Source organism: Homo sapiens, chromosome 12 (assembly GCF_000001405.40).
Source record: "Homo sapiens chromosome 12, GRCh38.p14 Primary Assembly".
Lineage (NCBI taxonomy): Eukaryota > Metazoa > Chordata > Mammalia > Primates > Hominidae > Homo > Homo sapiens.
The window spans coordinates 2,645,771-2,661,271 of NC_000012.12; the positions used below are offsets into that span (position 1 = coordinate 2,645,771).

The following is a 15,501-nucleotide window of genomic DNA, read 5'->3' on the forward strand; positions in this document are numbered from 1 at the left end:
GTAAACAGCTCCTCATGTGGAAACAGGTGTGAGCGGTGGTAGAGGCAACAGTGTCCTAGCTACTCAAAAATGCCCTGTGAACAGCATGGCTTAAGGCTCAAGAAAAACTTAATCTTTGAGTCTCTAGATTCTTCCAAAGTTGGTCTCTTTGGAGAGTTGTCATTACCGGGGCAGGAGAATGCCACACAGACATCTCAGAGCGTCCTCATTCTTCCTCTTTCTACTGTCCTCATAGCTGCTCCTGACTTTCTCTTGTCTGCCATTATAGAGACATGCCATAGGAAATGTTAAATCAATACATGTTACTAAAATACAAAATACTATCAAGATTATCTGAACAGATCCAAAGTCAAGTCTTGAAGTGAAATATGACTTAAATAAATGAGGTCTTAAATGGGAGCTATAAAATGCAACAAGAAAAAAGACAGTTAAGACAAATGTTTAAAAATCCCAAATGAAGGATTCTGAATGTTTAAGAAGTAAAACAGGTTTTTTTTGGTTTTGTTTTGTTTTGTTTTTGTTTTTTTGATGCCTAGAGGTTGGTTCAATTAGGCCAGGCAAGCCAAGTACCTGGGTGCGTTGTCAGAATTATCTCCATTTTGGTCCTGTTCAGGCTGGGATTGACCCAGAAGACCTTCAAGCATTTGCCCAGGGTTCTTAGAAGTGATGAGCAGCTGTGATGGTTTTCAGGATGGATCCAAGAGGCCAGCAATGGCTCAAGCTTCCTGGGAGCTCTGCCCAACACTCAGGAGTTAACATGGTGTAGGTTACCTCCCTCTGGACCTCCCTCCCTGCCCCACTGAAGCCTGAGAAACACAGAACTCCTTGTCCATGAGCAAGGGAGCTCAAGCACTGGGCCAGGAGCGGGGCAGAAAGGTGCCAGTGGATAGCTAGACCTGACCATCCTGGGCAACTATCACACACCAGAGCAAAAGGGGTTTAGGTGCTTTGCCAAGAAATTTCTTCTGTGCATGCCTGTATGAGAGAGAGAGAGAGAAAGAGAGAGAGAGAGAGAGAGAGTGTGTGTGTGCGCGTGTGTGTGTCTGCCTATGTTTGTCTCTGTGTTCAATCTCAGTCTGCTAGCCAAATCCTAGGGACCCCACACCCTGCAATCACAAGGACTGACCTGGCAGGTGGAATCTTCATGAAGCAGAAGCTGAGATCTAGAGATCCAGATTTAGAGTGTTCTGTAAAGCCTAGAGAAGTGTCCCTTTCTTTCTCCTCCCTCACCTCACCCTATATCTCCACCATCCCCTAAAAGGGCATCCTACCAACTAGCTATGAAAAAAAAAAGAATTTGCTGAGAAATCTGTTACCCAAGAAATATTTTCAGGCTGCAAGCAAATGTCTAGTTGTGCACATTTCCATCCTTCAAAAATTCCATAACACATTTTCCTTGTTTGTACCTTAAAAACAGAAATACAAGAGCAACCATCTGAAAGTGGAGAGTAAAAGCCAAGTCCTGACTTTCTAGAAAGAGTTAGCAGCTCAGATGGTCAAGATCAGTCGGGGCTGAGCCCTCTGTGCTGGAGCCCAAAACGTAAGGGCACCTTCCCAGATCCAGGCTCCAGGAACTCGGGGAGAGGGCTGGCCCTGGGATACTCACCAGAGGCCAGTTTCCTCAGCTCCTACCCCCAAATGAGTTCAGCAGTCAGACCCGTGAGAACAGCTTCCTGGGGTGTTAGTGTCCTAAATTGTGTGCAGGGCTTTCAAGTTTAGAAAACAATTCAACAGTCATTATTTCATGCCAACGGTCAGGGCTCGCCGCACCTATAGACCAACAGCTAAGCAAGGCCATCTCCTGCCTGAGCCTGAGCTTTCAGAACAAGCCCCATTATGGAGTGGGTTGAGGCCACCTCTGGAGGCCCTCCTCAGTGTTGACTTGAAGTCGGTCTCCCCTAAACCTGAGAGGCCACTGCCCTTGCTTTGTTTAAATATATGTGGGCAAGGATAGGCTCTGGGGTCAGCAAGGCCTCTGTCCTTCAGCTGGCCCTGCCTGGGGTAAGCTAAAGTGCACAAAGCCTAAGTCCTCATAGGTTAACAATGGCTAATAAAAAACAAATTAAAACAGGCTTGGCACAGTGGCTTACACCGGTAATCCCAGTACTTTGGGAGGCCAAGGCAGGAGGATCGCTTGAGGCCAGCCCACGAGTTTGAGACCAGCCTGGGCAGTATAGTGAGACCCTGTCTCTAAAAAAATTAAAATAAAAAATTTAAATTAGCCGGGCATGGTGGCACGTTCCTATAGTCCTAACTACTAGGGAGGCTGATGTGGGAGGATCATTTGAGCCCAGGAGTTCAAGGCTGCAGTGAGCTGTGATTATGCCACTGCACTCCAGCCTGGGCAACAGAGCTGAGACCCTGTCTCTAAAACCAAACCAAACAAAAAAATTATAAACCTCCATCCACAAAATCCCAAAGACCTCATCTGCTTATCTAATAATATTATGAATGTGAGTTATTTAAAGGGCATAGGTAGGAGAATGCCTGTGGGTCCTTGATTGACATGAGACCCAGCAACACAGACCCCACACTCATGGGGACGCCCCAGGACCTGCCAGGCCTACGCTTTCACGTTTCTTTCACTTGTTTCCTTTTGCCCTCTTCTGCCACTGTGTTGCTCCCGTGTCAGCCAAGACCTAGAATACCGGGCATCTTCATGGGAGACTCATTACAGCTTATCTCTATCTGCCTTTCTTTAAAGCCAGCTGAACATACCCAATGCTCTCCCTCTATGGTAAGACCAACCCTCCCGACCATGCTCCCGGCTTCCGTGTCCCCCTCTAACACCCCCACTCTCCCCACCCCGAACTCCAGAGTCCCTGGGAGCCCTGCCTGGCTCTCACTGCATGTGGCCACTGTGTCTGCCGTGTGCCTTGCCTGCCTGTTCCCTTCTCGTGTGAGCTGTGAAGATGCTGTTTGTGCAGTGGTGGTGTTTTACCCCTGAGCTTTCCTTGGGGTGGTAATTCACTGTGATCTTGACTATCTAACAAGCCACTGGGAGAGAATGGGACCCGAGGTCCATTTCCTGTTAAACACCCTGAGGACTCCACCGGCCAAAGCCTCTAACCTTAATCTGATAGGAGAAATTTGCAGAGGGTACCTATGAGAGCCATGGTAGGGCTCCAGGGTAAGGAGGGAAGACAGGTGCTCTAGGCAGGAGATGGAAGGGTGGACGATGATTCCTGTTAATCAGTGTCTGTGGCTCCTAGCTTCCCTGTGCTTCAAGTGAAAGGCCACCATAAAAGGTTTCAGCTGGGATTTGTTACTGAGCGCGTGATTGAATTTCCAGTCACTCCAACCTTGCTATCCCTTGCATTTTTCTAAATTCCTGAAGTCCGTTAAAATTAGGCTGCAGCCACTGTTCCGCAGCAAGCTGGAAGCAGAAAAACAAGCTCCGTTGATTGGACCACTCCTGTTGTAGGAGTCTCTGATTCGCGTTGGTTGAAGTGATAAAAGAGACGCCATTCAGTGTGACCTTGAAGCCTCCTTGGCCCAGCCGCCTCCAAAAGGCTGCCGTTATGCATTTCTAACCGGGCCAAGTATGAGTTTTTAGAAGGACCAGTGGGGTTGATTGACCAAGCCACCAAGTCTGCAGGCCGAGGCAAGCTTGGGTGGGTTGATGTGTTCCCCAGTGCAGCCTGGCGCTGCCTGGCCACAAGGCTGCCACAGGAAAGGCTGAGCCCGGGTGCTCTACCCCGCTTCCTGGGGACTCTGCTTCTGGGATCAGCCATCTGGATCTGCCTCCTTTTTGCATTGTTATTTGGTTTATTAGAGCAAATTGGTGCATCCGAATGGCAGTGAGTTTATTCTCCTTCTCGAGCAGCATTAGGAAACTGCAGCCACAGGGGAGGGCTCTGAACAGTGGAATGGAATTCACGCTGCAAGCTTGGTGTTTGGCGTTTTTTGGGTTTTTTTGTTTGTTTATTTTGTTTTTTTAACTGAGCAGATCCAGATGCCCCTGTGGCACCAACTTCTCAAACTCTTGACACTTGCAGCTAAAGTTCTCCACTTAAGCTTGTTCTTTTTTTTCTCCTTTCTCGAACACGGTGGAACTGACAGCTGAGTTATAAAATCCTAAGCCTCCTCTGCATACTCCTCTGGGGAAACACAACCTCCTTTTAAGGAGTGAAAATAGAAGTTCAAGCAGATACACAGGTGATAGAAATACAGAGATTAAGGTCATCAAAGGCTTCAGAACACACAGGCAGGGAAGAGCCCAGGGCAGGACAGGGCTGCTGCCTGCAGCTCTTGACCCAGCCCCTCAGGTACCCGTGCAGCAGGTCCCGAGTCCCACCTGTCTGTCCCCTGCCTTGAGGGGAACGGGAGCCTTAGGAGGAACTGAGGCAGCTCTAATTTTGAAATATAAGAAATATTTTTGCTCTTCTCCTGTTTGGAAGATCTGGAAAGCAGGAGAGGTCTCTGGCTTGCTTCTGGGCAGAGTGGTGGCTGCCTTCGGGTCTCCCTGCTTCCCTCATAATCTCCTGTCCTGCATAGTGAGGGGAGCGGCCTCTGACGCCTCATCAGGGTGGGCCAGAGCAGGCAGCGCAGTTAGAAGGGCTTTAGCGCTGGATATTGCCAGTGAGAGTCTGACCTAGAAATAATTAAAGATAAAAGGCAAGGTAAAGCAAGGAGTGGGGAGGGCCCAGGTGGCCCTAGTAACAACCTGAGCCCTCCCACCTCGCGGGAGGTGTGGACGGGACCAGTAACAGGAAGCCCCGAGGGTCCATTCTCTCCCGGTGCCCGCAGGTCTGGGTGAGCTGCACTAGCTCCGGATTTGGCAGTGGCTTCCTCCTGGGTTCCTGCTCACCAGGCCGATGTGGGCAGGAGGAGGGCCAAGTGGGGAGTCAGCTCATGTTCTCAGGTTTGGAGGCAGAGGACCGCAGGGCAGCCCGTCCTGCCCCCTGAGCCCTGGCCAGGCATGTGCCCAAGCCCCCAGGCTCCCCCAGGTCCAACAGCAGCAGCCCAAGCACCTCCAGTCACCTTGGCCTGCACTCCACCCTTCCTCCCCTTCACCTTCCCTCTCCCCTTCCCCAGGGCCCCTGAGGGAGACCATCTGCAGAAGCCTCACTTGCAAGGGAGGCCTCCCCTCCCTTACGCTGCCCCTCTCCCTTCCAGGGTCTTGTACAGCCTGAAGGGTTGGAGCCTCCTAGAGGCCCCAGGGCAGAGGGGAGTAGGAGGGCAACAGCTTCGGAGCAAGGGCTGCAAACCAGACCCTCTCCAGCACTGAGTAGCACCCGTAATCCCTCCCTTTGGGACAGGGGCTGTGGAAAGTAGAAGGAGGTGATACAAGGAAAGTGCTGGAGTCCCAAGCAGCTGGGGCATGAGGTCCTTCAGGGGGCAGCCCACCAGGACCCCCAAATCCACGCATACCTACAGCTGGGAGAGAGGCCAGCCACCAACCCACATCCTCGGAGAGTGCTGGGCTCCACTTAGGACACAGGACTGTCTGCCCAGACAAACGGGAGACAGGCTAGGACTGCTTCCTCAGCAGTGCAGAGGAGGGGTTCCCAGGGCAGCTGGCTCTGGGCCTAGAAGATTCCAAAGCCTATGGTAGTTCCTGATGGAGTCGTCTGTCCTCCATCCAGGGCATTAAGAACTAGGAATGAAGGGGAATCGGGGAGAATAAAAACACAGGACCACAGCCCAGCGGCCTGGGCACAGTCTAGCTCTGCAGAGACCATGGGGCTGGGCTGTCCACTCATTAAAGTGGGCGGCCGCCCTCCCATCGGAGGGGGAAGTCTAGTGCAGCAAACCCTGGCCTGCCTTCCGCCACTGCCACTGAGGTCTGTATTTCTCGGAGGGGCCCTCCTGTTCTCACCCCCCTCTTGCTGTGCTAACTGCACCTCCTGTTGCCGACGGGTTCCAGAACGCAGAGGAAAACTCCCGCATCTCCATCACCTTCTTCCGCCTGTTCCGGGTCATGCGTCTGGTGAAGCTGCTGAGCCGTGGGGAGGGCATCCGGACGCTGCTGTGGACCTTCATCAAGTCCTTCCAGGTAGCCGCCCCTCATGTCCTGCGGCCCGGGGAATCGCAGGGCTGCCGCGTGGCCCAGAACACAGCTGACACAAGGAGGAGCCCTCCACTCTGGGGCCCTGCTCCTTCCTCTGTGTGGCAGAACTCGGCCGCTCTGCCTGGCTCCCTGTTTCCGCACCGAGAGGCCTAGACGAAGCATGTGGTTTCCAAGGCAGGCTCAGAGCCCCAGAAGGCCAGGTGGTAAAGGAGGGATGGGAGCTAAGGGGAGGCAGAAAGGGTCTGCCTTACTTTTAACCATCGTTTATGTCTTTCTGCACAAGAATTTACTGGACAAAGGGGTTTTGTGGTAAGGAACAAACCTGAAAAACACGGGCCTGGACAACCTGGTGACCGCTATGGCCCTTCGAGTTCAGCATTTCCAGAATCTGGCCATCGCCCTCCTCCCCGTAGGCGTTTCAGCAGCATCTGCTGACAGCACCTGTCATGTCCTCGGCCAGAGTCGCAGGACCCTGGTGTCCTCCGCTCGGCTAGAGAGGCCCTTCGAATGGGCCCAGGACTGCCTGGCCATGTGATCAGTTCCTCCGCTCAGCCATTGTTTTCCCATTAAAACAGAGTGACAATCAGCCCCTGCCAGCTCGGAGGAGTCTTTGTAGGTTTGAAGTTAAGGAGAAGCAAAGCGCTTGGGTCACTTGACTTCCCCCAGATGAGCGCAGAACCCGTGAAGGCGGTTTCATGCTTCCCTGGGCTGGCGGAACGCAGGCTTCTCTCCCCCCATGGAGGGGCCGCTCTCAGCCTTTCCAAGACGAGAATCTGTCAGGGAAGATGGTCTTTGTGTGCCCCACCCTGGCCAGTCCCTGCCCGGGGACAGGGCATGCCTGGGCCTGGTCCAGGTGAGGAAAGATGCCCGTCCCCGCTCTGCCCCCAGCAGCCTCCTGCCAGGGACTGACCATCCAAGGCTCTCGAGGGAGCTCCCAATGGCCAGGCTGACCCCTGCCTAGTGATGAGCTGGGGCTCCTGCACTCTGAGCCCAGCTCAGCCCAGGCTCTGGGGATTCGGAATAGTAGACACCAGCGGAAGCAGGACTGCCGCTGACTCTGTACTTGGGTGCACGCGGAACCCACGGCTGTGAGTTGCCATACTCTCCCTGCCCCCCCGACATCTCCTGGGGCTGGGAAGAGGCACAGACCGGGTGACTGCGAGGGCCTGATGGCGGCGCAGGCGTTCGGGCCAGGCAGCTGGCGCCTGCTCTGACGGCACCCTCTAGTGACCGGTGGCCACGGCTGAAGCGGCGCCCGGGAACACGGGCTGGGCCTCCCATCCTGGGGACCATGGCCTGTCCCCAGAAGTCACGGGGGCTCTGGAAAATTAGTTGTCTGAGTTGCCAGGCAGATAATGCATGGAGCGAATAGAGCGTATGGAACCCAGCTCTGCAAGGCATTGCACTAAGCACTTTATAAGCCTTAAATCTTTTCAACCACAAAACCGCTGAGAGGTATTATTATTGTTTCCATTTTTCTGATGAGGAGACTGAAGTTCAGAGAAGTTAAGTGCCCCAACCCTCACAGATAGAAAGTGGCAGAAACAGGATTTGAACCCATGATCTTTCTTTTAAATTTTTCCTTATTAAATGTTTCCATTGCAATAGTAATACCCGCTCACTACAACTAGTGGGATGGAATTAAGCTGTGTAAAGAAAGGGTGTAACTTGCCACCACCCCACTCCTCCACAGGTAACCACAGTCAGCGGGGTGCTGTCCTCCACGATTTCTCCTGCCTCGTACAGACACACCGCACATGTGTAGTCGGAGGAGGTTTTGCTCGTTCTTGATTGTTTTGCCCAGGTAGTGTCGCACTATATCGTTACTCTGCGGCCTGCTTTGAAAACCAAGCTGAAATGGGAAGTCAGTTCCGGTTTCTCAGACCTTCTCGCAGGTTCCCCGTAGTCCTGTGGGACTCTTGGAAGTGTCCCCCGGCCCAAACCGGGCAATAGCTGATGGCTGCAGAGACAGGGATGCGGCGCTCCCTGGGAAGGGGCCCAGCTGGCCTCTGCACTCCAGCCTCATGGGAGTCTCCTGCACTTCCTTCCAGGCCCTGCCCTATGTGGCCCTCCTGATCGTGATGCTGTTCTTCATCTACGCGGTGATCGGGATGCAGGTAGGGAGGCTCCCACCACGGGGCTCCTGGCCTCCCGCTCTGTCTCTCCCCAGTTCCCAGCACCACATTCCCTAACGCCTTCCTCCCTCCCTTCTCCCTTTCATTCCTGACTGTCCCTCTCCCTCCTCTTCCATTTTCTGAGGCCCAAAAAGCCACAGGAATTGGAACTTTCCCCAAATGGATCTCCTGTAGGTAGCAGGAGAATGTCCCGGTACAGAATACACAGCCCAGAGAGCCTCCCTCCCCGAGGCCTGGGTTCTGCTCTTGGTAGAGGAAAGACACTCTCCAGTTATGCAAGGGGCCTCGGGACAGACACAGCCCCTTCTCAAGAAACAGCAGCAAGGTGTGTCTGTTTGTGTCCAGCACCCCTGTTTGTGTCCAGGTCTGATGGGCCTGAGAGTTACCCCAACCAGATTCATTTGAAGCTAATGGCTGAGAGGGAGGGAGGGAAGAAGGAAGCAAGGAAGGGCCAAATCAACACAAGGTTCACCGCATCAAATGTGCAGCAGTTTTCTGGGGCCTCCCCTCCCAGGTGCCCACTGCACCATTCACCGCAAACCTAGGGCTCTCCATTCCCGTCTTGGGGCTCCAGCTTGAGTCCCAAGGCCAAACTTGGCAGGGCGCCCACACTAGCCCAAAGCGCTTCCTCGGCCGCTCCTTCAGGAAGTCCCCTACTTGCTCATCGCAGAAAGACCCAAGATTCAGTTGCCAAAACCTTTTGAGACTAAAAGAGCTACCTTGATACCTGATAAAGGTGGCAGTTTCTAAGATAAGCACAGCTTTAAAAGACCAGGAAGAAAAGGGATTTCAGGAATGCATTAAGCTTGCCCTAGCCTCAGATCACTCACTCCACATCACTCCAAAATGCAAGAACTAAATTTGAAAGAGTGCTTGGACATGCAGAACTGAAATAGCAAAGAAAATAACGCAGTGCGTCCTGTGTCCTGTCAGAAGCAGGATCCCGGTCCCAGCATCCACCGCTCTCAGCCCCAGCTCCCACTGGGCTGCAGGGACCTTCCTGAGGCTGTGGGCACTTTGATTCTCATGCTTGTCCAGTGTAGGGATTTGGGCTCAGGGGCTGGGTGGGGCAGCAGGTGCCTGCCAGGTTGCATGGGAAGACTGTTCAGCTTGTGGCAGCCAGTTCCAGGGACACCTGAGACCCCTGAAGAGACCATTGAACAATGGTGGGAAATTAGGACCCTATCTGTCCACAAATCACTGAACACCTCTTCCTTCTCTCTCCTAGGTGTTTGGGAAAATTGCCCTGAATGATACCACAGAGATCAACCGGAACAACAACTTTCAGACCTTCCCCCAGGCCGTGCTGCTCCTCTTCAGGTGGGTCCCTGAAGACATAGGTGCACAGATACACACACACCTGCATGGTGCCACACTGTGGCCTGGTGGTAGAATGAAAGGGAACTGCTTCCCGGGGAGTAGGAAGGGAGAGGATGTGTTGCTTGCTCTCTGCCTGACAAGGAGGCCAGTGGGTCCATTGTCATTTATGATAACTTTCCACAGAGCAACCCACTATGCACTGGCACACCTGCTGGAAACCAGACAAAACCATTAGGGGAGCAAAAGTCACATGCTAAAAGCAGCCTGGCTTGGAATCTGAACAGGCCCAAAGCCAACCTGCCGACACGCTTTGTGACCTTGAGTGAGATATCTAACTTCTCTGAACCTCAGTTTTCTTGTCCAATAAGTACAGATATCTATCACTATACCAGCACCTGTGCCATTTGCCGTGCTGGGCGCTTATGTCCACATGCACTGGGCGTCATCCTCACTTAATCCTCAACACAATACTAGCAAACTGAATCCAATAGTACATGAGAAAGATGATACATCATGATCAAGTGGGTTTCATTCCAGGGGTGGTTCAACATATGCACATCAATAAATGTAAGACACCATATTAACAGAATGAAGGAAAAAAGACCCACATGATCATCTCAATAGATGCAGAAAAAGCATTTGACAAAATTCAACATCCTTTCATGATAAAAACTCTCAACAAATTAGGCATAGAAGGATGGTACTGCAACACAATAAAGGCCACGTATGACAAGGCCACAGCTAACATCATACTTAGTGGTGAAAAGTTGAAAGCTTTTCCTTTAAGATGAGGAACAAGACAAAGATGCCCACTCTCACCACTTCTATTCAACATAATAATACTGGAAGTCCTAGCCAGAGCAATTAAGCAAGTTTTAAAAAGTTATCCAAATAGGAAAGGAAGAAGTGAAATTTTCTCTGTTTGCTGATAACATGATCTTATATATAGAAAATCCTAAAGACCACCAAAATCTATTACAACTGATAAACTAATTCAGTAAAGTTGCAGGACACAAAATCAACCCACAAAAATGAGTAGCATTTATTTACACTAACAATGAACTATCTGAAAGAGAAATTAAGAAATCAGTCCCTTTTACAATAGCATCAAAAAACTAAAATAAAATACTTAGGAATAAATTTAATGATCTAAACTGAGAACTCATAAAACATTGATAAAAGAAATAGTTGGTGACACAAATAAATGGAAAGATATCTTGTGTTCATGGATTGGAATAATTAATATTGTTAAAATGACCATACTACCCAAAGCAATCTACAAATTCAATGCAATTGCTATCAAAATGCCAATGTCATTTTTTATGGAAATGGAAAAAACAATCCTAAAATTCATATGGAACCACAAAAGACCCTGAATAGCCAAAGCAATCTTGAGCAAGAAGAACAAAGCTGGAGGCACCACAATGCATGATATAAAAATCTGTTACAAAGCTACAGTAACCAAAACAGCATGGTACTGGCATAAAAACGGACACATAGAGCAATGGCTCAGGAGAGAAACCTGAGAAATAAACCCACTCATTTACAGCCAGTTGATTTTCGACAAAGGTGCCAAGAACACACAGTGGAGAAAGAACAGCCTTGTTAATAAATAGTGTTGCCAAAGAGGAAAAAGGGAATTACTTTCAAAATCATCATTAGCATTAGACTTCTCATTAACAAAAGTATATATGTAATAGAAGACAATGGAATAATATGTTCAAAATTATGAGGAAAAATGTATTTTTGAATCTGGCCCTCTAAATACAGTCTAATCAGCATTCCAGTAGTCAAGCAAAATAGAGACATTTCCAAGTGTTTAAGGACCCATAAAGTTTACTCCCCAACATAAGTCTTCCCTGGAGCAATTACTCAGGCTGTACTTCCACAGAATGAAAAATGAATCAAAGAAATAGAATGAGCAGAGTAATGATATGAGTAAAAAATAATGAAGTTTATAGTTATGAGTTATGAACAAGGACATTATAAAGTTTATATAAAGTCTAGATACTTGTTAAGGGGAAAATGTACAAAACCTTAATGACAATTTGGAAGTAATATTTTATGTTATCTCTACAAGGTAGGAAGTGAGGTGGTAGAAGAATGAGAAACATGAAACCATGCTAAGATTCTTCTCTTGTTTGGGGATAAGAGTATATACTGTTTAATTCTGTACATAACTAAGGGAAAAGTGTGTATACATATATATGTTAAAGATTTAAAGGTCAATCACTAAAAAAATAGAAATGGAATGTATATATTCTAAACCACTAGAGGAAAAAAATGGATGGATAAAACTTAGCAATCCATCAAAAGGAAGCTAAAGTAAAAGTAGAAAAATAAATAAAACATGGAAATTAGAATAATAAAATGAGATGGCAGGAATAAGAACAAAGATAATAATTGCTAAACTTATTGAGGTAAAGTTCACTATTAAAACATAGATACTCTGATGTTGGCTTTAAGAAATCTAGCTCTAGCCTGTTTATAACAGCTACAGTAAAACAAAATGGCCTAAAGAAAATGCAAATAAAAGGATGGAAAAACGAATACCATGTAAGGCTCACAATGTAGACGTAATAATAGCAGTAGCAGAAGAAATAGAATTCCAGGTGAAAGGCATTAAACAAGACAAAGAGGGATTTTATATTGATAAAAGGTATAATCCATCAAAAATATATAATAGTCATAAAACTACATGAGCCTAACAATATAGTTTGGAAATGTATCAATTACATACCAATAGAAGTATAAGGAGAACACACACACACACACACAGTGGAAGATTTAATACAGGTAGAGCATGACAGACCAAATAGACCAAAATAGAAAAAAGGGTAAAGAATATCTAAATAATACAATTAACAGACTTGAACTTATCGAGTTATACTCAGTAAATGGCCAAAAAAAACACATTCTTTTTAAACACCTCAGAAACATTCACAAAAATTAGCCAAGATTTAAGTCACAAAGAATTTAACAAATTCTACAACTGCCCCTACTTTGATATAGCCAAATTAGAAATTAGCCATAAAAACAAAAACCCCTCCAAAATCTACTTAAAAATTTGGCACTCTTCTTAGTAACTCAAAGCTGAAACTACAATCTACAGTCATGCACCACATGATGACATTTCAGCCAATGACAGACTGCCTAAAATTAAAATGGAGCTGAAAACTTCCTATCACCCAGTGACGCTATAGCATCAAAATGCAGTGCAGTGCCTTACTCAGGTGTTCGTGGTGCTGCCAGTCATAGATAAGTATGGCCCATACAATTATGTACAGTACATAATATTTGATAATGAGAATAAATGACTGTGTCACCGGTTTATGTCTTTACTGCACTATACTTTTATCATTATTTTGCAGTGTACTGCTTCTACTTATTTTTTTTTAAGTTAACCGTAAAACAGCCTTAGGCAGGTCCTGCAGGAGGTATTCCAGAAGAAGGCATTGTTATCATAGGAGATGACAGCTCCATGCATGTTAGTGCCCCTGAAGACCTTCCGATAGGACAAGATGTGGAGGTGGAAGACAGTGATGTTGATGATCCTGACCTTGAGTAGGCCTAGGCTAATGTGTGGGTTTGTGTCTCAGCTTTTAACAAAAAGCTAAAATTAAAAAAAAAAAGTTCAATATTAAAAAAACATAAAATAAGGATATGAAGAAAAATATTCTGCACAGCTGTACAATGTGTATTTTAAGTTGCGTTATTACAAAAGAGTCCAAAAGTTAAAAAAAATTTAAAAGTTTATAAAGTAAAAATGTTACATTAAGCTGAAGTTAATTTATTACTGAAGAAAGAAAAGTACTTTTTATAAATTTGTGTAGCCTAAGTTTATAGTGTTTCTAGTCTCCAGTGGTGTACGGTAGCGTGCAGTCATGTCCTAGGCCCTCACAGTCACTCACCACTCACTCACTGCCCCACCCAGAACAACTTTCAGTCCTGCAAGCTCCACTCATGGTATGTGCCCTCTACAGGTGCACCGTATTTAAATATTTTTTACTGTTCCTTTTTTACTGTTCCTATTTTTACTGTTCCTTTTCAGTGTTTAGATATGTTTAGATACACAAATACTTACCATTGTGTTCCAGTTTCCTGCAATATTCAGTACAGTCACATGCTGTATAAGCTTGTAGCCTAGGAGCAGTAGGCTGTACCACAGAGCTGAGGTGTGTAATAGCTACGGCATCTAGGTTTGTGTGAGTCCACTCTATGCTGTTTGCACAACAGAATTGCCTAACCATGCATCTCCCCACTGTTAAGTGACACAGGACTGTACTTAGAAATGAGGGCCAGGGCACCAGATCTTAAACGTATGAGATGCATCAATCAGCACCAAAGAAAAAATTCAGAGCCTGAAATTTATTTATTTATCTAAAAAGCTGTATATTAAATAAGCTAATAGATGGGGAAAAGAATAGTAAAATAATCCCAGAATATGAAGGAATGCATTTTTAAAAATAAAAGCATAAATTAATAAAATATGGATTTTATCAATAAACCCTAAAGCTGATCCTTTGAAAAGACCAATAAACAGACAAACCATCAAATCCAATTTTTTTAAAAAAAAACACAACAACATCAGAAATGCAAAAAGCAACATAATTACAGATGTGGAAGTGATTTTTAGAATGATAAGAGAATTTCATGCCTCTGTTTTGTGGCACTTCAGAGGTGATCATCTACTTCAAGATGAAGCAGAAAGTCTCCTTCCCAGCCAGTGGCTGCCAGAAACTCATTGAAGTGGACAGTGAATGCAAACCATACCTTTTATGAGAAGCATATGGCCTCAGAAGTCGCTGGTGCCACTCTGGGTGAAGAATGGAAGGCTTATGTGGGTGGAATCAATGGTACAAATGACAAGCGAGGTTTCCCTATGAAGCAGTGTGTCCTGACCTGTGGTTGTGTCCACCTGCTACTGCATACGGGGCATTCTGTTATAGACCAAGGAGAACTGCAGAAGGAAAGCACAGATTGTTCAGAGTTGCATTGTGGGTGCCAGTCTGACTTCTTAATTTGGTTTTTGTACAAAAAGATGGGGGGGAGAGAAAGATATTTCTAGACTGACTGATACTACTGTGCCTTTTCACCTGGGGTCCAAAAGAGATGGCACGGTCCGATAACTTTTCATTCTCCATAAAGATGATGTCCATCAGTGAGTAAACCCCTAAACAAAGGATGTCAGGAACCCAGGACCAAAGCACCCAAGACTCGGCATCTTCTTACTCCACATGTCCTGCAACACAAATGCTGACGTATTGCTCTGAAGAAACAGAACACTAAAAAAAAAAATAAGTAAGGCCCGGTGCGGTGGCTCACACCTGTAATCCTAGCACTTTGGAAAGCCGAGGCAGGTGGATCATGAGGTCAGGAGTTCGAGACCAGCCTGGCCAAGATGGTGAAACCCCATCTCTACTAAAAATACAAAAATTAGCCAGGCACGGTGGCGGGCACCTGTAATCCCAGCTACTCGGGAGGCTGAGGCAGGAGAATTGCTTGAACCCGGGAGGTGGAGGTTGCAGTGAGCCGAGATTGTTCCACTACACTCTAGCCTGGGCGACAGAGCAAGACTCTGTCTCCAAATAAATAAATATAAGGAAGAGGTTAAACAATATGCTAAACTTTTGGCCAAGAGAATGAAGGAGACCAAAGAAAAATGCCAGGAACAGATTTCCAAGACATGGAGGCTATGCTCACTGAGAGCTTCTGAGTCTATCAAAAATAAGATTTTCACCAGGCATGGCAGCTCACACCTGTAATCTCAACAACTTGGGAGGCTGAGGTGGGAGGATCAGTTAAGACCAGGAGTATGAGACCAGCCTGAGCAACACAGCAAAACCCCATCTCTAAAAATAAAAAATAAAAATATTAGCCAGGTGTGGTGCCATGTGCCTGTAGTCCCAGCTACTTGAGAAGCTGTAGCGGGAGGATCACTTGGGCCCAGGAGTTTGAGGTTACAGTGAGCTAAGATGGCTCCACTGCACTCCAGCCTGGGTGATGAAGTGACATCCCATCTCTAAACACATA

General features: G+C 47.2%; 1 protein-coding gene and 1 pseudogene across 56 annotated transcripts in view, besides 1 other annotated feature; both read left to right on the forward strand.

Moving 5' to 3' along the window:
- CACNA1C (calcium voltage-gated channel subunit alpha1 C) overlaps positions 1–15,501 on the forward strand; it is a 727,171-nt gene that overhangs the window by 674,991 nt on the left and 36,679 nt on the right. For 44 of the 56 annotated variants that reach the window (XM_017019926.3, XM_017019934.3, XM_017019946.3 and 41 more), the window contains 4 exons: positions 2,705–2,737; positions 5,870–5,998; positions 8,065–8,130; positions 9,377–9,468. In XM_017019926.3, coding sequence (XP_016875415.1) covers positions 2,705–2,737; positions 5,870–5,998; positions 8,065–8,130; positions 9,377–9,468 — 320 coding nt within the window. Of the gene's footprint in view, positions 1–2,704; positions 2,738–5,803; positions 5,999–8,064; positions 8,131–9,376; positions 9,469–15,501 lie in introns of all 56 variants that reach the window. The other 12 variants (XM_017019932.3, XM_047429517.1, XM_047429518.1 and 9 more) reach the window with 2 other exon arrangements.
- Positions 5,931–6,804: an enhancer, noted in NCBI's record as "H3K27ac-H3K4me1 hESC enhancer chr12:2760867-2761740 (GRCh37/hg19 assembly coordinates)". NCBI's record gives its function as "activates a minimal SCP1, AML or CMV promoter by ChIP-STARR-seq in naive H9 embryonic stem cells {active_cell/tissue: H9 hESC(naive)}" and the evidence as "EXISTENCE:reporter gene assay evidence [ECO:0000049][PMID:30033119]".
- On the forward strand, positions 14,126–14,776 carry RPS6P18 (ribosomal protein S6 pseudogene 18; annotated as a pseudogene).